Source organism: Homo sapiens, chromosome 7 (assembly GCF_000001405.40).
Source record: "Homo sapiens chromosome 7, GRCh38.p14 Primary Assembly".
Lineage (NCBI taxonomy): Eukaryota > Metazoa > Chordata > Mammalia > Primates > Hominidae > Homo > Homo sapiens.
This window is the reverse complement of record NC_000007.14, coordinates 21,925,728-21,950,650: the sequence shown is the minus strand read 5'-3', so window position 1 is coordinate 21,950,650 and position 24,923 is coordinate 21,925,728. Positions and strand designations below refer to the sequence as shown.

At 40.4% G+C, this 24,923-nt stretch overlaps 1 protein-coding gene across 3 annotated transcripts in view, besides 5 other annotated features; it reads left to right on the top strand.

The window, feature by feature from the left end:
- Positions 4,088 to 4,798: an enhancer, noted in NCBI's record as "H3K27ac-H3K4me1 hESC enhancer chr7:21985471-21986181 (GRCh37/hg19 assembly coordinates)". NCBI's record gives its function as "activates a minimal SCP1, AML or CMV promoter by ChIP-STARR-seq in naive H9 embryonic stem cells {active_cell/tissue: H9 hESC(naive)}" and the evidence as "EXISTENCE:reporter gene assay evidence [ECO:0000049][PMID:30033119]".
- Positions 4,154 to 4,403: an enhancer, noted in NCBI's record as "active region_25703". NCBI's record gives its function as "activates an Ori minimal core promoter by ATAC-STARR-seq in GM12878 lymphoblastoid cells {active_cell/tissue: GM12878}" and the evidence as "EXISTENCE:reporter gene assay evidence [ECO:0000049][PMID:35858748]".
- CDCA7L (cell division cycle associated 7 like) overlaps positions 4,752 to 24,923 on the top strand; it is a 45,001-nt gene continuing 24,829 nt past the window's right edge. For 2 of the 3 annotated variants that reach the window (NM_001127371.3, NM_018719.5), the window contains exon 1: positions 4,752 to 4,870. In NM_001127371.3, coding sequence (NP_001120843.1) covers positions 4,847 to 4,870 — 24 coding nt within the window. In that variant the 5' untranslated portion in view covers positions 4,752 to 4,846. Of the gene's footprint in view, positions 4,871 to 10,335; positions 10,390 to 24,923 lie in introns of all 3 variants that reach the window. The other variant, NM_001127370.3, reaches the window with a different exon arrangement.
- Positions 4,794 to 4,943: an enhancer, noted in NCBI's record as "active region_25702". NCBI's record gives its function as "activates an Ori minimal core promoter by ATAC-STARR-seq in GM12878 lymphoblastoid cells {active_cell/tissue: GM12878}" and the evidence as "EXISTENCE:reporter gene assay evidence [ECO:0000049][PMID:35858748]".
- Positions 5,084 to 5,133: a silencer, noted in NCBI's record as "silent region_17998". NCBI's record gives its function as "represses an Ori minimal core promoter by ATAC-STARR-seq in GM12878 lymphoblastoid cells {active_cell/tissue: GM12878}" and the evidence as "EXISTENCE:reporter gene assay evidence [ECO:0000049][PMID:35858748]".
- Positions 8,457 to 9,077: an enhancer, noted in NCBI's record as "NANOG hESC enhancer chr7:21981192-21981812 (GRCh37/hg19 assembly coordinates)". NCBI's record gives its function as "activates a minimal SCP1, AML or CMV promoter by ChIP-STARR-seq in naive H9 embryonic stem cells {active_cell/tissue: H9 hESC(naive)}" and the evidence as "EXISTENCE:reporter gene assay evidence [ECO:0000049][PMID:30033119]".

The following is a 24,923-nucleotide window of genomic DNA, read 5'->3' as shown; positions in this document are numbered from 1 at the left end:
TTGATACCACTAATTGGAAATTAAAAATTTTCTTTTATAAGACCTAAATTCATAGAAAGGTAAGAATTATTGAATAAGATGTTATTTTCGCTCATTTGTTGTCAGTGCCTAGTCAAAATAATATTTTATGTTCACATACTAAATGATAAATAATGCACCATCTATTACAAAAACCTATGTAATATGGGTTGCGTTAATCGTATTTGGAGTTTACATAGCATCTCTAAGAAATCCCAAATGCTTTGAAAATATTGTTTCACTTACTTTTACAGCACTAGTTTTGAAAAGATGTAGAACTCTCAGCTGAAGGATTCAAGGAGGGAACACATTCAAAGGTTAATTCAGCACAGGGCTTAGAGCATAGTGAGTACTCTTTAAATTAGCTGCTATTCTTGATATCACTATTACTATTGACTTTTTGAAAGACCACAGGCATTAAAGTTTCATCATGATGTGTATTTTTCTGCATCTGATATATGGACAGATCTGATTTTTGATTGTCCAGGTTATTTTGTCATAAGCCATTAGGGTGATTTTCATCACAGTGTTGTGACAACATCATCTTGACATACCAAGTCAGGAAGATGGAATACCGGGTTGTAATAATAATAAAGAAAAACGTTCCAGAAACGCACCCAGTCAGTGTTAGATGATGATTTTACAAAAGACTCAGTTCTAGATCTTTGATTCTGTAGCAACTTGGAAATTTTATATCTGAATGTTTCAAATTTAGGGAGGTCTCCCCATTCTAGGGTAGGTGTTATCTGATCACAATGAGATGGAAGTTTCAAGAGACCAAGAGCTAGAGAACAACCAGTGATGTTTTCCTGTTTAACGGTCACTTTATTTATTCACGACCACATACAATGCCAAGTGGTACTCAGATACTGTTACCAGCTAGGTCCTAGTCTGTTCTGCCCTGAACAGTAAATCAATTAGTGTGACATGGGTTTTGCAAAAGAAAAAAAAGATTTATTCACAAGGGCATGGAGTGAGGAGGTGGGAGAATAGCTCTGAAGTACGCCTCCCTGAAGATAAGGCTTAGGGATATTTATGGGTTAGGGAAATGGGGTGGTCTGAGTTATGGGGAAATGTAATCGGCACTGGGAAAAAAACGAAGTAACAGGCTCATTCTGCACAAATGTAGCCAGAGTTCATGGCATTATATAGGACATATGTACAGAAAAATGGCAGTGTTAGCATGATCTCAGGGTGGAGTTTTTGACCCTCTGACATCAAAAGGCCACCTCTCAGGCACTTGAAGAGTCAGTGGCCTCAACCAGTTTGAACTGGACAGAAGCTGGCCTAAGTTTCTGAGAAAAAAAAAAAATGGAAGCAACAGTTACCACGGTGACCTATGAACGTTATCTATAAAGTAGCCAGTGAAGTTAAGTCTCAGTGTTCAGTGGTGCGGTGTTCAGCTACTGCAGCCTTCAACTTCGTGGGAAAAGGAAACAACACCAAGAGGCAAATGACCAAAAGCAAGCAGGGGAGGCAGACCTAATGAAATTACCTCTCAGTTTCTATAGACTCATGCTGCTTCCAGCTCTCTGCAGAAGGCAGATTCTCTGGTGAGTTGTCCAGAGCACCAAACCAGCACGATTTTCTGTTATGTGGGGAGGACTAGGGAGTTTGCCCACAACTAAGCTCTGTGGGGACGGCAGAGATACTACTTCAGATAGAGGAGAGATGTTTGGGCTCCTTTTACAAAGCAAAAATCGTGGGCCAGGGTTGACATCCAATTACAGCTCTCTCACATCATTTAATGAGGTTCAATAATGGCTTTGTAGGGGAGTAAAACTTCATCTCCATCCTTTTGGGTCCTGGCTGGGTCTGAGGATTAAACTGACATAAAATAGATTAACAAGAGAAAAGCATATAGATTTGTCTAATCGAAGTTTTATGTGGCATGGGTGCCTTTTTAAGGAAATGAAGACCCCAGGATGAAGTTTGAGTTGGACATTTATATAGTGAATTGCACAGAGTAGTAAAACTGAAAATGCGATGAGGCAAAGGGGCATGGGCTAGTGTAGTTAATTGGGTGGAGAAGTGACTGAGAAGATAAGGGTTAGTTTAACAAGGTTTGTTTGTACAGATTTCCCTCAGCTTCAATTTCCTGTCTTTGATAAGAATGTGGCTTTCCTTCTTGTGTAGGGAGGACAGCTTTCATAGGGGAATTTTATCTCCTGCTTTTAAGAAACAACATTAAGTTCAGAGTGATCTTCTCCTACCTGCTTTTTTTTTTTTTAAGTGCTTTTAACTAAAAATAGTGAATATGCCAGAGCAGCATATTTTAGTGTGGCATTATTAACTCCTTTGGCTTCTAATCACAAATTTCTTACCTTGTTCAAGGTACTGGGGACCAAGTTTTTACTCTCTCATGGAAACATTTAAAAAGCAATCAAGCATGGATTTCTAGACAGACTTCTTAAAAGAAGTTGCAAACATTATGTCTTCTTTTTCTGTGTTGCAATATGTATACTGTTGCATCTGGAAGGGACACTCATTCTTGCAGTGCCATGATGAAACCCAGTGCTCACATCCCGTGAACCCTATCAGTAATAATTATTAGAAAGTATTACTGCAGTGCCATGTTTAAATCCTCTGGTTCCTTAGAGATTTTCCCAAAGCCTGACCAAAACAAAACAAAACAAAACAAAACAAAACACACCACTATATAATCAATTACTAAATACCATCAAACGTGTACAGGCTTTGCTAAGCACAGGAAGAAAATTTAGGGGTTGTCATCTGAAGACTTAGGGTTAGTTATGGCAAATTTCTAAACAGAAAGGTTCAACAGCTTACAGGTTTCCTGATACAGAAGTAGCTAGTCTAGGCTGCTTCAAGTGTTTTGCAAAATCTGACCTGCTTCAAATTTGTGCTCCCTTTTCCAAAATTGATTTGATTTAACCTACAATGAAAAGAAGTGCAAACAAGATCAGCAGTTCATGAGGAAGCAACTATCTAAAAAAAAAAAAAGAGGAAGAAGAGCTCTGATTGAATTAATTTTCACTCTAAGCTTCCTGGCAGCCAAAGGGAAAAAATACAGAAAAATGGAAAGAATGTTGGATCTGGAGGCATAAGGAATGGTTTTCAGTTTGGCAGTCTGCTGCTGTCACTTAGTGGCAGGGTGGCAGGGATCTCTTAATGTATTTTCTTAGATTCTGTTTCCTTATTTTAAAAATGTGGACAATAAGGATCTGGAAGGATATTGAGAGGATTCAAGGAGATACTGCATGTGAAGGAAAACTCTAAAGCATAATAAAAATGAAGTGGCCATAATGAATAAATAACATTATCCAATAAAAACAAAACATTTTAAGTCACACAATGTTGTATTGGTTTTACTACCACCAGGAAGTGAGAACACTGAGGGCTGGAACATGAAAGCACATAACACATGTTGTTTGCTGAACTAACCAAAGGAAGGAAGGAAACCTTTTCCATGTTTTCTCTTCAAGCTTGAGTAAATGTTTGGCAAATTTCATTCACTCGTTCAATAAAGAAAAGATGAACGTCAGATCCTAAGCAGCTGAGAGGGGCTGCAGAAGGTCCTATGCGTACAGGATGCTCTACTGTAAACCTATGACCACGGTTCTAAATAGGTGTGCAACACTGTCCAGCAAACCTGCTGTGATTTCAGGACAACTTCATTTACCATTCTCCCCACTCTCTACTTCAACTCTCCCACAATTTCCACAAACTTAATTCCTCACTCTTCATATCTGAACTCTAAGAAGTATTCCCTGACCTCTATCAGATTGTCTTCCTATTTCACACCACCATTAATACCACTTGCCTTTTTTCTCATGGCATCATCGCTCCAAATTTACATTTATTTGCATCATCATTACATTTGTCATTGATAGTGGTATCAAATTAATATTAATTATAAATCTAATTTATAAAATTTACATCGTTATTACACTTATTTGCATCATTATTGTATTTATTTAGAATAATGCAATTAGGTTGGTAACTGGCTCTCAGGCTGTAAACTCCAACAGAGCAGGGGCCTGTTTTTGTTCACCCTTCTGTTCCTAGGACTAGCCCAGTGCCTGATGCTTAGTAGATGCCGGGGTCAATTCTGTTAAATTAGTCAGCATTCCTGACCTCTACAAACTCTTTGTCTGGTGGGTGTGGAGGCCTACTGTGTAATGGCCGTCTAAAGTTTCAGGCGGGTTTGCATCTGTCCACCTGGGCCTTGGTAAAGAAACCTGGGTTGCCTGTTCTGCAAAGTGAACCCTGTAGCAAATGTTTTGGGAGACAGAATCTTCCCAAAGAGAACCCTGCCCCGTTACAACAACAAAACAAAACAAGCCCCAAAGCCGCCCTACAATATTTGCCTGGATCAGAGACAGGGGTTGCAGCAGAAGCTCGCGCCCCAGGGCATGACCTGGAATAAACCCTGCCAAGTATCCAGCGCGCGTGCCAGCTGGAGGCTGCGCCGGGACAGCCCCCTCATTTCTCCCGCGCTAAACCCCGCCGGACGGCTCCACTCCCTCCCTCTGCTGCAGGGGGGAGCCCGGCGCCCTAACACTGGTAATTGCTCTTGCCGCGCCCAACTGCAGCCCCCTCTCGCGCCGCCTGCGAAGACAAGGTCAGTGGCCGCGAAGTTGGAACGTGATCGGAGCCACGAGGCCCAGTGAGGCGGCACCGAGGGGGCAGCGCAACGCGCTCCCCCTGTCCAGGGCGTCAAGTGCGCCCCTCCCGGGGCCCGCCTGTGCTCCGGGCGGAGCGCGCTAGCTGCTCGGGCGCGGGGCGTTCTTGGTGCGCCGGGCCGTGGTGAGTCCGGGCTCCCGTGGCCGCGTGCTGGGAGGAGACTGGAGCCCGGTTAGGAAGAATGGAGTTGGCGACTCGCTACCAGGTGAGGGTCCGGCCGCCCGCCGCCGTCCGGACGCACCCACAGTTTGACTTCCCTTTGCCACCCGGTCCTGCTGGCCTTGGGCTGGAAACGTGGCCCTTGGCTGCGGCACTGGGGATCTGGCGCGCCCAGCCGGTTGAGTGCCGGAGTGGGCGCGCCCTGCAGGTGTGCGCAGTGGGTCACGTTTGTGCTACGCGGACCACAGAGGCCGGTCGCCCCAGCACACAACCGCGCTCAGCCTGGCGCTCTGCTCAGTCTCGGGTGGCCGCCGGGGGTGCAGGCGGGGAGCTAGCGGGGCGCAGCGCCTGCGTTTGCAGCCCTCGTGAGACGGGGGAGGGGCTTTTTTTGTGCACTCCCCACACTTTCTCCGGGAATTGGCACAGAGATCAGGAAGCTTAAGAAAGTTGTAATTTTTTTTTTTTAACAGTCGATCGCCAGACCAGTCCAACTTGGATAATGGAGTTTAAAAATAATAACTTTAGTGTTTATTCTAGAACTTTTGTAAACGTTTTCAAGGAATTAGTAACCATTTGGGGGAAATGGTAACGTCATTGGGCCGAGTTAAACAAGCTGCAAGATCCCAAATCATATGCACAGCACGACCCCAATTACGCGTTAAGGGCCTAACTCGTCTTTAAAACTCATTAGCAAACACTTGAGTAAGTTCCCCCAAACGTTTCAGTGAGTAGTGGGAATGTGAACGTGACTTCAGTTTTCTCTTTTTACTTCTTAAAAGAGCTTTTCTCTACGTTATCGTAATGGAGATACATGTTTACTTAGAAGTAAGCAATAAAAACATTTTTCATAAGAACTAAAAATACAACCTTTAAAAAGGGAAACAAGCAGCCACGCCTCTGCTTGTGGGAGCACGGAGATGCTTTGTGCGAGGATTGTTTTTTTTTTTTTTTCCACTTGTTTTATTGAGAGTCGCGAGACTCACTGCTTCCACCTTGCTTCCGACTGGTGTTTACTTTCCTCCACCTGCGTGCCTGGCCCGGGAGAAGGGGAGGCGGGGCCGCCAGCGTTGGAAGGCGCAGAGTGCCCGGCGCCCGAGCCCAAACCGCTGTCACCTGCCCGAGTCTGGCGGCAAAGACTGAGCCACTAACGGTAGCTTTGGCCTTTTAGTAATTTCTGAAGCCTTCCTGAAAATGGTCGCTTGAGAAAAATCTGTTGTTGATGTTTCTGAGAATATTTTTAAAATGCCTCCTGTGAGATAAACTATTAAAAGCAAGGGAAACAGTAAAGCCTACGGAATGAGACAGGGTTCGATTTTTTATTTTTTGCCACTGGCTTTTACCGTGTATTAGCATCCTTTTTTTTTTTTTTTTTTTTTTGGAGACGGAGTTTCGCTCTTGTCCGGGGTGGAGTGTAATGGCGCGACCTCGGCTCACTGCAACCTTCGCCTCCCGGGTTCAAGCAATTTTCCTGCCTCAGCGTCCCGAGTAGCTGGGATTACAGGCGCCCGCCACCACGCCTGTCTAATTTTTTGTATTTTTTTTTTTTTTTTAGTAGAGACAGGGTTTCACAATGTTGTCCAGTCTGGTCTTGAACTGCTGACCTCAGGTGATCCACCTGCCTCGGCCTCCCAAAGTGCTGGGATTACAGGCGTGAGCCACCACTTCCGGCTGGCGTCCTAACCTTCTAGGAGTTTCTGTTGCTACAGGACTAAAAACAAAAAACAAACCCTCTGGATGGAGATTTGAGCTCCTTGTGAGTTTAGTCAGAAAATGTATCTGGAATTTATCACTCCGGAGCTCCTTGTGAATGTAATCAGAAAATGTTTCTGGAATGTGTCACTCCTGTTGTTAAGCTGGAGAGTTCTTTGCACTTCCACTACTGATATTCATAATTCATGCTTAGGAAACTCAGAAGTCCCAGAATGTGTAGTTGGAAGTGAGCGTTTACTGCCACACAATGAGGCTAATTTTTGGTAGTTCTAAAATGTTAAATAAACTATTTATCATGTAGGGGTTACCCACAAATTATATCCGATCCATTATGCACCAATTAAGGCAAATTACTATATGTAAGATGATCAGGGTTTTTTTTTTTTTCCTTTTCTGAAGACCTAATTGGCAGTGCAAATCAAAGATGTGTGATGGTTTTTCCAGTGGAAATGTTCCTGTTCATCGTAATTTAAATGTGCACAGATTATAGTCTCTAAATTAGTGGAGAGTGGTTCTGTGGGGTGGGCAGGTGACTGCGGATAAGAACACTTAATGAACATTTCAGGCACAGCAAGATGTTAAATTCGTGTGGTTCCACCCTGTCCCCCAGCCTTATGAATAAAGCAATGTGATGAACCACCTGAAGTGGCATTACTGCACATCAAATGTCGCTCAGCTCAGTGTGCAGTGGGTTTTCATCTCACACATTGGAGTAAGTATAATTTCTATCGCTTGGAAAGCGCAGAGCTAAGTGTTTCAGCAAAGCAGCTTAGGCCTAATGTTATGAGTAAGAAGCAAACAAGGAGACTCATTTACTCTGAACTACTTTCGAGTCTGCTTTCCTGCCATCCCACCAGTGTGTTGGATTTGATGTCCTCTGACAGTGATTACGCTTCCCCCAGGCTGTAGTCTTGTCGTGCTGACCACTGTGTCTTTGTGCTTTTATATAAAATGACAGAAATAGCTCGTAAAGGCAAGGGTGTGATCCCTGACTAAGAGCTGTCAACAGTGCAGCTCATGGGAGCTCCAGCTTGCTGCAGCTCCGTAGGAGAGAAACTGGTAGGCACTGAATGTCAGTGTTCTCCTCGTACTCTGTTCTAGCTCCAGAGTACAGGATGGCCCATTTGAGAAGGAAATGATGCTAAATGTTCTTGTAAATAGGCAGGAGCACGCTGTTGAAGGGGTAAAGGGGTATTTTTCTGGTATTGGTCTCTTAGCTGCAAAGTGCTCCCATCTGATCCTGTTGTTTAACATGTAATTCCAGAGCCCCAGAAGCTGGTCACAGAAAGGACAATGATTTGCCACTCTAATAGTCTTGTATTTAAAACGCTCCTTGGTTGTTCTGTGTTCTGCTGGCTACCCCATCCATAGCAGAGCAGGATTCTCAAAAATCAGGCGAAAACCTCAGAGATCATAATGATTCTGATCAGGTACACAGGCCAGGAAACAATGAGATAATTGTGGCCTAAAACAATTACAAACATTAGAGTAAATTAATGAAAAAGATTAGAACATCATTGGAATAGAATAAGCCAGGCATTACATTTAAACTGCTCTTGAGAGTTTTCCTTTACTCAAAGTTATGTTTTAGAATATTTACCTCCAGTATACAGTTTTGTTTTAGAAAAGACTCGGCTTTATTCACCAAAATGGAATAGATTACAGGCTACTTAAAGTAGGTAGGGATAGAGATAAGAAAATACTACTGGGGCCATTTTGTTCTTTTTGTTTATGAAAAGCAGTGCTTTCTGTAGTTTTTTTGAAATAGGACCATTCAGAGGCATATTTGGTAAATACCACTGAAGTTAACACTCAGAAAAATGTATCTTCCATAGTAGTAAATGCTAGCACCCTGCATGCAGCACAGAAATAAAGTGTGGAGTCTCACAGTGCAAGGGGCCTGAGCTTTAGTTCAAATAAATCGTTGATGTTTCCTGCCTGTTTTCCTTCATGATCATCAGCTGAGGATAGAGGGCTTGCTGACTGGGTTAGTACACTGATCAGATAGTCAGTTGAGCACCGGTTATGTGCTAGGCATTGGTAGGGTGGAAGAACAAAGACACAGAAAACACGCCTCTTTCCCCACACTCTCTACCAGAAGGCCATGCTTGAACTCCCTTCCTCTTCTGCTTTTGCCAGAGCTCAGCTGGCTCCTGCTCTGTGCTATGGGGACCTGGGGGACCTTGGGTTTGGAGAGTAGAGGGAGACCTTAAGAGCCATCCTTTTTTGCCCCCAAGGAATGGAAACTATCACTTCCTTTTAAAAGTCATGCTGTGCTAAGTACTTAAAAGTTATCAGATTTAATCCCCACTGTAGTTCTGTGAAGTAGGTTGTGTTATCTGCCTTTTAAAGATAAGGCTAAATTGACTAATTTGCTCAGGGCAATTTGTAAGGAATTGGCCCTTGCTGCTGGAATCACCGGGCCTTGGTGAGTCAGGAAACTTGCCCTGTTCCCTCCTCCCTTTAACTAGAAGGGCTGGAGTGTTAACAGCAGCTAGTCTGGTTCTTTTTTAGGAACTCACCAGATTATGCTTTATACTGCCTGTAAAAGTCAGTTTGGGAATGTGAATAAGATCCACCAAGCTTTTACATAGGAATGACTTTTATGTGAAATTTGCATTGTACAAACAATAACATGTTACCGTAAGCTGCACTGAACCACTTCTCTGCTTCCCCTACTCTCCGTGCCCCATTTTCTGCAGTTTCCATGAAGTGTTTGCCTGTAGCACAGTCGTCATCTTTGTCTAACCTTTACAGTATGATTGCTGTTGGAATCTGCTTTCCTTAGCACTATCAGCATTACTTTTCCTAGTAGCGTAGAGATCTTTACAGTTTTCATTTTTAGTGACTGTCTAGTGTTTCTAGATGTGTATTTTATGTATTTTCTGTTGAAAAAATATTTTTTTCTTTATTAGAGGAAATAAATATCTCAGGGTGGTATACTGTATATCTTACGGCTTGTGTTGGAGTCTGCACTATTTTTAATAACTCTTTATAATGTATTTAATATCTCATAAAGGGAATGTGCCTGATTTTCAATGGTTAGGAGCCTCTGACACATTGTTTTCCTAGGGCATTTCCCCTTTTGTTGCGCTATATTAGCTGAAAGAAAGCAGTTTTTGCTGAGGTTAGAACCAAGCTTATGATAACTGGACTGAAAGAATGTTGTCTCCTTGAACTTAGAGCATCTCATAGAATGTTCTAGTTGGGGGGAAAGTGGAGAGTAGTCCCAGAAATCTGTTCTTTACATCCGGTCTGCCTAGAAAACCAAGAAAACCTATAAATGTGTCAGTGGACATTTAGTGGAAGTGACTGCAGATTAGGGCTATGGGGAATTTGTGGCAAGTTGGTCTCATTGACTTGGCGGAAGGCAGGGACACCCCATCCACAGCGCCCACATTCATGCTTCCACCTGTGCATCTACAGCAGGTTCTCCAGGGTGACTGCATCCTGCAGCTATGTAGGTTACTGCTCCTGGAAGTCTTCCCATCCATTGCCCCCACCGCTGGCTCAGGTGCTCGCCCTGGGAACTTCTGGAGTACCTGGGCTGACTTCCCTGATCACATTTATCATACCACACTGGAATTGTTTAAAGATTGTTTCTCTTACCCTACCACTTACGACTCAGTTTTCATCAGCTCTCTTAGCATGGTGTCTGGCATATATTTGATGCTTAGGAGACGATGTCCAGCATGTATTAGATGCCTAATAAATATCCATTGAATGGATGGAAGGGCAAAGTAGTATTGTTAGTAATATACTCTTTTAATTAACATTTATATAGCGTTTTCTACTTTTCAGAGCACTTCGCAGGCATAGTTTGGAAGTCATCAGGGCTGGTTCTTTTCCTTCCAGGTAAGTGGTGTAGGGTTGCACTTTCCTGGCCCTGAAACAGTCAAGGCTATTTGACTTGCTTTGGCCAGTGGAATATGAGAAGTACTATATGTCACTTCTAAGTGAATTATTTAAATGCCAGCATACCACTTACTGTATCTCATTCCCTCTGCCACTGCATCTGTCAGCATTCTGCAGAGTGGTAGCTCTATCAGCCCAGGTTCTGGTGTGAGGACAGTGTGGAATAGAGCCTTGGGCTGGCCTGTGATGGACATGTAATGTGAACAAGACGGAAGCCTTTTTTTTTTTTTTTTTTTTTGGTTTGAAGCTATTGATTGAGATTTAGGGTTGTTTGCTACTGCTTTATAGCTTGTCATATCCTAACAGACCAGGGTGCTCCTATTTCAGTTTTGGATTCAATCACTCTGTGGTTGTCATCTGAGTGATCTGGGGTCATGGTAGTCGTGGTAACAAACGTGGGTGGGTTTCTTTTTGATTGTTAGAGTGATGAGGGTGAGGGGAATGCCCCTGGTAAGTGGTTTGGAGTTCAGGGGTATTAAGTACCATGTGGCAGGCAGGAGAGTCCTACAGGATGAAGCAGTTGTTCTGTCCAAAACGTCAGTTGCACCTTGTTGGAAAACACTGAGAACAGACTTGTCCAATTTGATAATCTTTTAGACTCCAGAGAAATCTTAACATTGGCTTCACATGTTCTATCTGCTGACCTCCCTGGAGGAGGAAATTACTTCACACTTCCCAAGTGATTTGGTTCACTTCACTCCCAGGATCTCTGCCAAAATTCCAGTTCATTAGGTACTCATCTGCTGAATAGCTCTTCTAAGACCTGTGTAAATACATATCTAAAATGACTTCCCATTTATTTCTTCTCTTTTAAACATAACATTGACTACCCTGTGGGGCTTTTTATTGTGGTAAGATATACATAATAAAAGGTACTATTTTTAACCTTTCAGTGTTACTAAGTATAGTCACAATGTTGTGCCGCCATCACTGATCTCTCATGAGCTTTTTCATCATTTTAAACTGAAACTCTCTACCTACTAAACAATTACCCCTATGACCTCTTCCTCCAGCCCCTGGTTACTTCTGTTTTAGTTTCTGTCTCTGAGGATATGACTATCCTAGGTATCTCATATGAGTGGAATCATATGGTATTTGTCCTTTTGTCACTGGCTCATTTCACTTAACATTGTTATTAAAGTTTATCCATGTTATAGTATGTATCAGAATTTTTTTTCAATTATTTCTCTTTTGAGACAGGGTCTCACTCTGTTGCCCAGGCTGGAGTGCAGTGGTGCTATCGTGGCTCACTGCGCCTTGACCTCCTGGGCTCAAGTGATCCTCCCACTGCAACCTCTTGAGTAGCTGGGACTATAGGTATGTACTACCCTGCTTGGCTAATTTTTCTTTTTAAAATTTCTGGTAGAGATGGAGTCTCTGTGTTGCCCAGGTTGGTCTTGAACTCCTGGGCTCAAGCAATCCTCCTGTCTTGGCCTCCCAAAGTGCTGGGATTAGAGGCATAAGACACTGTGCCTGACGTCATTTCTTTTAAAGTCTGAATAATACTCTTATGTGTACATACCATCTTTATTTACTCATCTATTTATGTTGTCGGTTGTTTCCACCTTTTGGCTATTGTAAATACCAATGAATAAACATTGGCATACAAATATCTGCTTCAGTCCCTGCTTTCAGTTGTTCTGGGTGTGTGTTCCTAAAAGTAGAATTGCTGGGTTATATGATAATACTAAATTCAATTTTTTCAGAAACCACTATACTGTTTGGCACAGTGGCTGTGTCATTTTATATCATCATAAGCAGTGCACGAGTGTTCCAATTTCTTCACGTCTTTGCCAGCCCTAGTTCTTTCCTGGATTTTTTTTTAATGGCCATTCTAATGTGCATAAAGTGGTATCTCATCGTGGTTTTGTTTTGCATTTCCCCAATGATTAGTGATGTTAAGAATTTTTTTCTTGTGCCCGTTGGTCACCTGTACCTCTTCTTTGAAGAAATGTTAATTCAAGTCCTTTGCCCATTTCTTAACTGGGTTTTTGTAGTTGTTAAGTGAGTTATTTATATATCTTGGATATTAATCCCTTATTAGATATTATTTGCAAATATTTTCTCTCATTCTATATAGGTTGCCTTTTCACTGTCTTGATAGCGCCCTTTGCACAAAAGTTTTTAATTTTGAGGTCTAGTTTATTTATTTTTCTTTTGTTGCCATATCCAAGAAATTATTGCCAAATTCAGTGTCATGAAACTTTTCCCCTGTATTTTCTTCCATGAGTTTTATAGTTTTAGCTCTTATATTTAGATCTTTGATCCATCTTGAGTTAGTTTTTATAGATGGCTTAAGGTAAGGGTCCAACCTAATCCAATTTTCCCAGCACTGTTTGTTGAAAATACTGTTCTTTGCCATTATTCTTGGCATCCTTGTTGAAAATTAGTTAACTGTATATGCAAGGGTTTGTATCTGGGCTCTTTATTCATTTCCATTGATATATATGTCTGCCTTTATGCCAAGACCACACTGTTTTGATTACTATAGCTTTGTAGTAAGTATTGAAGTCAGGAAATGTGAGTCCTCTAACACTGTTCTTTTTTTTTTTTTTCTTTTTTAAGGGATGGAGTCTTGTTCTGTCACCTAGGCTAGGGTGCAGTGGTGCAATCTCGGCTCACTGTAACCTCTGCCTCCTGGGTTCAAGCAATTCTCCTGCCTCAGCCTCCCGAGTAGCCGGGACTACAGGCACATGCTGCCATGCCTGGCTAATTTTTTTTTGTATTTTAGTAGAGATGGGGTTTCACCATGTTGCCCAGGGTGGTCTGAAACTCCTGAGTTCAGGCAGTCTGCCCACCTCAGCCTCCCAAAGTGCTAGGATTTCAGGTGTGAGCCACTGCGCCTGGTCTGTTCTTCTTTTTTAAGATTGTTTTGGCTATTTAGGGTCCTTTGAGATTCCACATTAATTTTAGGATGGACTTTTGTTTTTACGAAAGAAGTCACTGAGAGTTTGAGAAGGAATACATTGAGTCTGTACATAGCTTCAGTTAGTATTGTCACCTTATATTAAGCCTTCCAATCCATGAACATGGGATGGTTCTCCATTTCCTTGTCTTCCTTGATTTTTTCGGGGATGTAGTTTTCAGTGTACAAGGCTTTTTTCGCCTTTTTGGTTAAACTTATTTCTAAGTACTTTATTATTCTGATGCCATTGTAAATGGAATCGTTTTCTTAATTTTCATAATTGTTCATTGTTAGTGTGTAGAAGCATAGTTGATTTTTGTGTTGATTTTGTGTCCTGCAATGTCTAATTGTTAGCTCTAACTACTTTTTGTGTAATCTCTAGTGTTCTCTACATATATAATCACGTCTCTTATAGCAGAGATAAATTTTGCTTCTTCCTTTCCAATTTGGATGCGTTATTTATTTTTCTTGCCTGATTGGTCTGGCTAGACCTCCCAATACTGCGTTGAATAGAAGTGGTAAAAGCAGGCATATTTGTCTAGCTCCTGATCTTAGGGGAAAAGCTTTCAATCTTCCATTCATCATTGAGTATCTTGTTAGTTGCGGGTTTTTCGTATATAGCCTTATGTTGGTGAGTTTAAGTTTCCTTCTATTTTTTTTTTTTCTGATGAGGGAAGGGTGTTGAATTTTGTCAGATGTTTTTCTGCATCAGTTGAGATGATCTTTGTTTTTCCCCTTTATTCTGTTCATAGGGTGTACTACATTAATTGATTTTTATGTGTTTGAACCATTTTGCATTCCTAGAATAAATGCCACTTGGTGATCTTGTATAATCCTTTTGCTACACTGCCGAATTTGTTTTACCTGCATTTTGTTGAGTATTCTTGTATCAGTATTCGTAAGAGATATGGCTGTATAGTTTTCTAGTATCTTTCTCTGGCTTTGGTATCAGGATAATGCTGGTCACATAGAATGAGTTTCAAGTGTTCCTCCTTCTTCAAGTTTTTGGAAGACTTTGAGAAAGACTGGTGTTTGTTCTTCTTTAAATGTTTGGTAGAATTACCCATGAAGCCATCTTGTCCTGGGGTTTACTTTGTTGGGAGGGTTTTGATTACTACTTAAAATCCTTATTTCAAATATATTCAGATCTTCTGTTTCTTCATAATTTAATCTAGCTAGGTTGTTTGTTTCTCGGGATTTATCCATTATATCTAGATAATCCAATTTGTTGGCATACGGTTGTTTATAGTACTCTTAAAATCCTATTTATTTATTTATTTATTCATTTTGAGACGGAGTCTTGCTCTGTCGCCCAGGCTGGAGTGTAGTGGCACAGTAGCGGCTCACTGCAACCTCCGCCTCCTGGGTTCAAGCAGTTCTCTGTTTCAGCCTCCCAAGTAGCTGGGATTACAGGCGCCCACCACCAAGCCTGGCTAATTTTTTTGCATTTTTAGTAGAGATGGGGTTTCACCATCTTGGCCAGGCTGGTCTTGAACTCCTGACCTTGTGATCCACCCACCTCTGCCTCTCAAAGTGTTGGGATTACAGGCGTGAGCCACAGCGCCTGGCCAGTCCTTTTTATTTATGTAAAATTGGTAGTAATGTCCAATTTCATTACTAACGTTAGTAATTTGAGTTTTCTCTGTATATTTTCTAGTCATGTAGCTTAAGATTTGCCAATTTGTTGATTTTTTTTTTCAAAGAATAAACTTTTGGCTTCATTGATTTTTCTCTTATTCTATTATCTATTCTATTCATATCTGTTTTAATCTTTGTTTCCTTCCTCTTGCTAACTTTGGGTTTGGTGTGCTATACATTTCCTGTTCCCCTAATGTGTATGGTTTGTTTTTTGGTTGGAGATCTTCATTTTTATTGTGTTTACAGCTATAAATTTACCTCTTAGCAGTGCCTTTTGCTGCATCCCATATATTTTGGTAAATTTTGTTTTCATTTACATTTGTTTCAAAGTATTTTCTAATTTCCCTTGTGATGTCTTCTTTGACCCATGGTTGTTTAGGAATATGTTATTTAATTTCCACATATTTGTGAATTTTTCATTTTTCCTTCTGTTACTGATTTCTAGTTTCACTCTACTGTAACAAAGGATAGTATTATTTCAGTCATTTAAAAATATATTCACACTTGTTTTGTGGCCTAACATATAGTGTGTCCTGGAAAATTTTCTGTAAGTACTTGAGAAAAGTGTTTATTCTGTTGTTGGGTTGAGTGCTATTAGTTTTAGTTGGTTTATAATGTTGCTCAAGTCTTCTGTTTCCTTATTGCTCTGTCTTGTTCTGTTCACTGTTGAAAGTGGGGTGTTGAAGTTTCTATCTGTTGTTGCAGAACAGTCTATTTCTTCATTCAGTTCTGTCAGTGTTTGCTTCATATATTTGGGATCTTTGATGTTTGGTGTGTGTATATATTTATAATTGTTCTATCTTCTAGTGAATTGGCTCTTTTATCAATCTGTAATGTCTTTGTCTTTCACAACAGTTTTTGACTATTTTGTCTCATATTAGTATAGCCACTCCATCTCTCTTTTGGTTATTATTTGCATCGAGTATCTTTTTCTGTCCTTTTACTTTTAACCTATTGGTGTCTTTAGATCTAAAGTGAGTCTGTTGTAGATAGTGTAGAGTTGTATCCTATTTTGAAAAAATCCTTCCTGCCAGTCAATTTCTTTTGATTTGGAGTTTAACACATTTAAATTTAAAGTAATTACTGGTGGGGAATTACTTAATCTTGTGATTTAAGAAATAGGTTTTCTGTATATCCTATGGCTTTTTTGTCCCTCATTTCCTCTGTTATTGCCTTCCTTTGAGTTTAGTTGATTGCTTAGTATTGGCACATTTTGACTCTCTTCTCATTTCATTTCCTTTTCTTCTTAGATAGTTTTTGTGTTACCATGGAGATTACATATAACATTCTAAAGTTATAGCAATCTGGTTTGAATGATACCAATTTCACTTCAGCGACATACAAAAATTCTACTCCTATATAGCTCTTTTTCCATCATTTTATGTAATTGAGATCAGGAATTACATCTTTATGTGTTGTGTATCCATGAACAGATTCGTAAGTATTTTTAATCCTTTAGAAAATAACAAGTAGAGTTATAAGCCAAATTTACAATAATACTCTAGTTTTTATATTTGTCCATGTATTTACCTTTACCTGAGAACCTTATATTTTTGTATGGCTTTGACAAAGTTACGGTGTAGTGACTTTCATGTAAATGTGAAGTACTCCTTTCAGCATTTTCTGTTGCAAATGCCAGTAGTAATGAATTCCCTTGGCTTTTGTTTATTTGGGAATGTCTTAATTTTTATCTCATTTTTGAAGGGCAGTTTTTTTTTTTTAACCAGATGGAGAATTCTTGTTTGATAGTTTTTTTCCCTTCTACATTTTAAATATGTTACAAATAAATCATCCTACTGCTTTCTGACCTTTAAGGTTTCTGTGATAAAACGGCTGATAATCTTTTTTTTTCTTTTTTTTATACTTTAAGTTCTGGGATGCATGTGCAGAACGTGCAGGTTTGTTACATAGGTATACATGTGCCATGGTGGTTTGCTGCACCCATTAACCCGTCGTCTACATTAGTTATTTCTCCTAATGATATCCCTCCTCTAGTCCCCCAACCCCGACGGGCCCCAGTGTGTGATGTTCCTCTTCCCATGTCCATGTGTTCTCATTGTTCACCTGCCAACTATGAATAAGAATATGTGGTGTTTGGTTTTCTGTTCTTGTGTTAGTTTGCTGATAATTTAGCTGGTTTCCTGCTTCATCCATGTCCCTGCAAAGGACATGAACACATCCTTTTTTATGGCTGCATAGTATTCCATGGTGTATATGTGCCACATTTTCTTTATCCAGTCTATCATTGATGGGCATTTGGGTTGGTTCCAAGTCTTTGCTATCGTGAACAGTGCCACAATAAACATACATGTGCATGTGTCTTTATAGTAGAATGATTTATAATCCTTTGGGTATAAACCCAGTAATGGATTGCTGGGTCAAATGGTATTTCTGGTTCTAGATCCTTGAGGAATCGCCACACTGTCTTCTGCAATGGTTGAACTAATTTACACTCCCACCAACAGTGTAAAAGCATTCCTATTTCTCCACATCCCCTCCAGCATCTGTTGTTTCCTGACTTTTTAATGTTCGCCATTCTAACTGGCACGAGATGGTATTTCATTGTGGTTTTGATTTGCATTTCTTTAATGACCAGTGATGATGAGCTTTTTTTCATATGTTTGTTGGCAGTATAAATGTCTTCTTTTGAGAAGTATCATATCTTTCGCCCACTTTTTGATGAAGTTGTTCTTTTTTTTTTTCTTATAAATTTGTTTAATTTCCTTGTAGATTCTGGATATTAGCCCTTTGTCATATGGGTAGATTACAAAAATTTTCTTCCATTCTGTAAGTTGCCTGTTCACTCTGATGATAGTTTCTTTTGCTGTGCAGAAGCTCTTTAGTTTAATTAGATCCCATTTGTCAATTCTGGCTTTTGTTGCCATTGCTTTTGGTGTTTTAGTCATGAAGTCCTTGCCCCTGCCTATGTCCTGAATGGTATTGCCTAGGTTTTTTTCTAGGGTGTTTATGGTTTTAGGTTTTACATTTAAGTCTTTAATCCATATTCAGTTAATTTTTGTACAAGGTGCAAGGAAGGGGTCCAGTTTCAGTTTTCTGCATATGGCTAGCCAGTTTTCCCAGCACCATTTATTAAATAGGGAATCCTTTCCCCACTGCTTGTTTTTGTCAGATTTGTCAAAGATCAGATGGCTGTAGATGTGTGGTGTTATTTCTGAGGCCTCTGTTCTGTTCCATTGGTCTGTATATCTGTTTTGGTACCAGTACCATGCTGTTTTGGTTACTGTAGCCTTGTAGTATAGATTGAAATCAGGTAGCATGATGCCTCTAGCTTTGTTCTTTTTGCTTAGGATTGTCTTGGCTATACAGGCTCATTTTTGGTTCCACATGAAATTTAAAGTAGATTTTTGTAATTCTGTAAAGAAAGTCATTGGTATCTTGATGGGGATAGCATTGAATCTATAAATTACTTTGGGCAGTATGGCCATTTTCATGATACTGATTCTTCCTATCCATGAGCATGGAATATTTTTCCATTTGTTTGTTTCCTCTCTTACTTCCTTGAGCAGTGGTTTGTAGTTTCCTTAAAGAGATCCTTCACTTCCCTTGTAAGTAGTATTCCTAGGTATTTTATTCTCTTTGTAGCAATTGTAAATGAGAGTTCACTCATGATTTTGCTCTCTATTATTGGTATATAGGAATGCTTGTGATTTTTGCACATTAATTTTGTATCCAGAGACTTTGCTGAAGTTGCTTATCAGCTTGAGGAGTTTTGGGGCTGAGACGATGGGATTTTCTAAATATACAGTCATGTCATCTGCAAACAGAGACAGTTGGACTTCCTCTCTTCCTATTTGAATACTTTTTATTTCTTTCTCTTGCCAGATTGCCCTGGCAATGGAAAATGGAAAAATATTCCATGCTCACGGATAGGAAGAATCAGAATGTTGAATAGGAGTGGTGAGAGAGAGCATCCTTGTCTTGCGCTGGTTTTCAAAGGGAATGCTTCCAGCTTTTGCCCATTCAGTATGATATTGGCTGTGGGTTTGTCATAAATAGCTGTTATTATTTTGAGATCTGTTCCATCAATACCTCGTTTACTGAGAGTTTTTAGCAGGAATCGGTGTTGAATTTTATTGACGGCCTTTTCTGCATATATTGAGATAATCATGTGGTTTTTGTCATTGGTTCTGTTTATGTGATGGATTATGTTTATTGATTTGCATATATTGAACCAGCCTTGCATCCCAGGGATGAAGCCAACTTGATCCTGGTGGATAAGCTTTTTGATGTGCTGCTGGATTTGGTTTGCCAGTATTTTATTGCCAATGTGAAAATCTTCGTTCATCAGGGATACTGGTCTGAAATTTTCTTTTTTTGTTGTGTCTCTGCCAGGTTTTGGTATCAGGATGATGCTGGTCTCATAAAATGAGTTAGGGAGGATTCCCTCTTTTTCTGTTGTTTGGAATAGTTTTAGAAGGAATGGTACCAGCTCCTCTTTGTACCTCTGGTAGAATTTGGCTGTAAATCTGTCTGGTCCTAGACTCTTTTGGTTGGCAGGCCATTAATTACTGCCCCAATTTCAGAACTTGTTATTGGTCTTCAGGAATTTGACTTCTTCCTAGTTTAGACTTGGGAGGGTGTATGTGTCCAGAAATTTATCCATTTCTTCTAGATTTTCTAGTTTATTTGTGTAGAGCTGTTTATAGTATTCTCTGATGGTAGTTTGTATTTCTGTTGGATCAGTGGTGATACCCCCTTTATCATTTTTTATTGTGTCTATTTGATTCTTCTCTCTTTTCTTCTTTGTCTGGCTAGCGGTCTATTTTGTTGATCTTTTCAAAAAACCAACTCCTGGATTCATTGATTTTTTTGAAGGGTTTTTCATGTCCCTGTCTCCTTCAGTTCTGCTGTGATCTTAGTTATTTCTTATCTTCTGCTAGCTTTTGAATTTGATGGCTCTTGCGTCTCTAGTTCTTTTTTTTTTTTTTTTTTTTTTTTTTGAGACGGAGTCTTGCACTGTTGCCGGGGCTGGAGTGCAATGGCGTAATCTTGGCTCACTGCAACCTCCGCCTCCCAGGTTCAAGCGATTCTTTTTGCCTCAGCCTCCCAAGTGGCTGGGATTACAGGCACCCGCCACCACGCCCAGCTAATTTTTTTGTGTTTTTAGTACAGACAGGGTTTCACTATCTTGGCCAGGCTGGTCTCGAACTCCTGACCTCGTGATCTGCCCACCTCGGCCTCCCAAAGTGCTAGGATTACAGGCGAGAGCCACTGCACCCGGCCACTCTCTAGTTCTTTTAATTGTGATGCTAGGGTGTCAATTTTAGATCTTTCCTGCTTTCTCTTGTGGGCATTTAGTGCTATAAATTTCCCTCTCAACACTGCTTTAGCTGTGTCCCAGAGATTCTGGTATGTTGTCTTTGTTCTCATTGGTTTCAAAGAACTTATTTATTTCTGTCTTGATTTCGTTAGTTACCCTGTAGTCATTCAGGAGCAGGTTGTTCAGTTTCAATGTAGTTGTGCGGTTTTGAGTGAGTTTCTTCATCCTGAGTTCCAATTTGATTGCACTTGGTCTGAGAGACTGTTTGTTATGATTTCCGTTCTTTTGCATTTGCTGAGGAGTGTTTTACTTCCAGTTATGTGGTCAATTTTAGAATAAGTCTGATGTGGTGCTGAGAAGAATGTATATTCTGTTGATTTGGGGTGGAGAGTTCTGTAGATGTCTATTAGGTCTGCTTGGTCCAGAGCTGTGTTCAAGTCCTGAATATCCTTATTAATTTGCTGTCTCTTTGATCTAATAGTGACAGTGGCGTGTTAAAGTCTCCCACTATTATTGTGTGGGAGTCTAAGTCTCTTTGTAGGTCTCTAAGAACTTGCTTTATGCATCTGGGTGCTCCTGTATTGGGTGCATATATATTTAGTGTAGTTAGCTGCTCTTGTTGGATTGATCCCTTTAGCATTATGTAATGCCCTTCTTTGTCTGTTTTGATCTTCATTGGTTTAAAGTCTGTTTTATTAGAGACTAGGATTGCAATCCCTGCTTTTTTTTTTTTTTTTTTTTTTTTTGCTTTCCATTTGCTGGATAATATTCCTCCATCCTTTTATTTTGAGCCTATGTGTGTCTTTGGGTGTGAGATGGGTCTCCTGAATACAGCACACCGATGGGTCTTGACTCTTTATCCAATTTGCCGGTCTGTGTCTTTTAATTGGGGCATTTAGCCCATTTACACTTAAGATTAATATTGTTATGTGTGAATTTGATCCTGTTATTATGATGCTAGCTGGTTATTTTGCCTGTTAGTTGATGCAGTTTCTTCATAGTGTCAGTGGTGTTTATAATTTGGTATGTTTTTGCAGTAGCTGATACCAGTTTTTCGTTTCCATGTTTAGTGCTTCCTTCAGGAACTCTTATAAGGCAGGCCTGGTGGTGACAAAATCTCTCAGCATTTGCTTGTCTGTAAAGGATTTTATTTCTCTTTCACTTATGAAGCTTAGTTTGGCTGGATATGAAATTCTGGGTTGAAAATTCTTTTCATTAAGAATGTTGAATATTGACCCCACCCTCTTCTGGCTTGTAGGGTTTCTGCCTAGAGATCCGCTGTTAGTCTGATGGGCTTCCCTTTGTGGTTAACCTGACCTTTCTCTCTGGCTGCCCTTAACCTTTTTTCCTTCATTTCAATCTTGCTGAATCTGATGATTATGTGTCTTGGGGTTGCTCTTCTCGAGGAGTATCTTTGTGGTATTCTTTGTATTTTCTGAGTTTGAATGTTGGCCTGTCTTGCTAGGTTGGGGAAGTTCTCCTGGATAATATCGTGCAGAGTGTTTTCCAATTTGGTTCCATTCTCCTCGTCACTTTGAGGTACACCAGTCAAACGTAGATTTGGTCTTTTCACATAGTCCCATATTTCTTGGAGGCTTTTTTTGTTCCTTTTTCACTCTTTTTTTCTCTAATCTTCTCTTCATGCTTTATTTCATTAAGTTGATCTTCAGTCTCTGATATCCTTTCTTCTGCTTGATCGATTTGGCTATTGATACTTGTGTATGCTTCATGAAGTTTTCGTGCTGTGTTTTTCAGCTCCATCAGGTCATTTATGTTCTTTTCTAACCTGGTTATTCTCGTTAGCAATTCCTCTAACCTTTTTTCAAGGTTCTTAGTTTCCTTGTATTGAGTTAGAACATGCTTCTTTAGCTCGGAGGAGTTTATTACCCACCTTCTGAAGCGTACTTCTGTCAATTCATCAAACTCATTCTCCATCCAGTTTTGTTCCCTTGCTGGTAAGGAGTTGTGATCCTTTGGAGGAGAAGAGGCATTCTGGTTTTTGGAATTTTCAGCCTTTTTGTGCTGGTTTTTCCTCATCTTCGTGGATTTATCTACCTTTGGTCTTTGATGTTGGTGACCTTCGGATGGGGATTCTGAGTGGAAGTCCTTTTTGTTGATGTTGATGCTATTCCTTTCTGTTTGTTAGTTTTTCTTCTAACAGTCAGGCCCCTCTGCTGCAGGTCTGCTGGAGTTAGTTTGCTGGAGGCCCGCTCCAGACCGTTTGCGAGGTTGCAGAACAGCAAAGGATTGCTGCCTGTTTTCTTCCTCTGGAAGCTTCATCCCAGAGGGGCAACCACCAGATGCCAGCCGGATCGCTCCTGTATGAGGTGTCTGTTGACCCCTGCTGGGAAGTGTCTCCCAGTCAGGAGGCATGGAGTCAGGGACCCACTTGAGAAGGCAAGTCTGTCCCTTAGCAGAGCTTGAACGCTGTGCTGGGAGATCTGCTGCTCCTTTAGAGCTGGCAGGCAGAGACGTTTAAGTCTGCTTAAGCTGGGCCCACAGCCACGCCTTTCCCAGGTGCTCTGTCCCAGGGAGATGGGGGTTTTATCTGTAAACCCCTGACTGGGGCTGAACAGCTGATAATCTTGTTGAGTGTCACTTGTATGTGACTACTTTCAAGATTGTCTTTAGGCTTTTAATATTTGATTATATGGTGTCTTTGAAAGGACCTCTTCCGAGTTGTCCTACTTGGAATTCCTTGAGCTTCTGGGATGTATTCCAATTCATGCCTTTCAGCCAGTTTGGGGAGTTTTCATCCACTGTCGTATCAAATAATCTTTGTCTCTTTTTCTCTCTGTTTTCTTTCTGAGTCTCCCATCATTCCTATATTGGTGTGCCTAAAGAAGTAGTTTAGGCTGTTTTCACTCTTCTGTATTCTTTTTAACTTTTTCTCCTCTAATTTTTTTCTCCTCTGACTCAGTATTTTCAAATGCATTATCTTCAGATTTGCTGATTTGCCTGCCTCCTCAAATCTGTTTTTAAACCACTCTAGTGAAATTTTCAACTTGGTCATTCTATTTTTTTCAGCTCCATAATTTCTGTTGGAGTCCTTCTTCATTTCTCTTTGTTAATAGGCTCATTTTGCTCGTTTTCCAGATTCACGTTAGTTCTTTGTGCTTTTTGTTCTTTCAGCATAGGATAGTTTTCTTTGTCTAGTAAGTCCAGTGTCTGTCTAGTAAGTCCAGTGTTTTCCTCTGGGAAAGTTTCTGTCAATTAATTTTGCTTCTTTGAATGGGCCAGGTTTTTCTTCTTTTTTATATGTCTTTGTTCTTTTGTTGAGAATTAAATATTCGAGAAGTGGCCACCTCTTCCAGTCTTTGCAGACTGACTCTGTGCTAGGGAAATCTTTAAAAGATTGGCTGGGTATGTTCTGACCCTGAAAACTGAAGATCATCTTAGATCTTTTCTGAACATACTGTCTTGCCTGGACCTGTGTGTGGCTTTTTTCCACTCCCCATGGCTTCTATTCAATGTCTTTATTATTATTGTTATTATTATTAGTTGTGAGCCAGGGTCTTGCTCTGTCACCCAGGCTAAAATGCAGTGCCTTGATCACAGCTCACTGCAGCCTCAAACTCGCAGGCTTAAGAGCTCCTTTTGCCTCAGGCTCCCAAGTAGCAGGGACTACAGGCATGTGCCATCATGCCTAGGTAATTAAAAAACATTTTTTTTTTTGAGATGGGGTCTTGCTACATTGCCCAGGCTGGTCTAGAACTGAGCTTAAGTGATCCTCCTGCCTCAGCCTTCCAAAATGCTTGGATTACAGGCATGAGCCACTGTATCCAGCCAGTATTACCTATTTTTGGTTTGCAGTTCCTTAATGACCACTGATGTGTGTATTTTTATGTACTTGTTTGTCATTTGTATAGCTTCCTTGGAGAAAGGTCTGTTCAAATTCTTCACCTATTTTTTGATTGGTTGTTTGCCTTTTTCTTGAGTTGTAAGAAATCTTTATATATTCTAGATAGTAGATCCTTATTAGATACATGATTTGTAGCTATTTCTCCCATTCTGCAGATTTTTCTTTTCACTTTCTTGCTGTCCTTTGATGCACAACAGTTTTTAATTTTGATGAATTCCAGTTTATTATTTTCCTCGAATTGTTGCTTGTGCTGTTGGTGTTAACATGAGTTTGTATTTTTTTTATTAACTGCTGAATACTAATTAATATATAGTTATAGAAAAACAGATCGTTTTCTTATTTAGATGCTTGGAAATGTTTTTAATGTAAGGACACTAACAAGCTACATGCCTTTGAGTAAGTCTAACTGTGGTTGCCCTAATTTTACTTTATTTTTATTTCTTATAGAGATAGGGTCTTGCTTTGTTGCCCAGGCTGAACTTGAACTCTTGGACTTAAGCTATCCTGCCTAGGCCATCTAAGTAGCTGGGACTACAGGTGTGTGCCTCTGTGTCTGGCTGTCACTCCCATTATATGAAGCACAAACTGATGGATGAGATCCCATCACAATCTGATGATCTTTTTTTTTCTTCTTTAATTGTTTGAGATAGGGTCTTCCTCTGTTACAGTGGCAGGATCATAGCTAATAGCAGCCTTGAACTCCTGGGCTCAATCAATCCTCCCTCCTCAGCCTCCCAAGTAGCTGGGACTACAGACATGCCACTATGCCTGGCTAATTTTTTATGTTT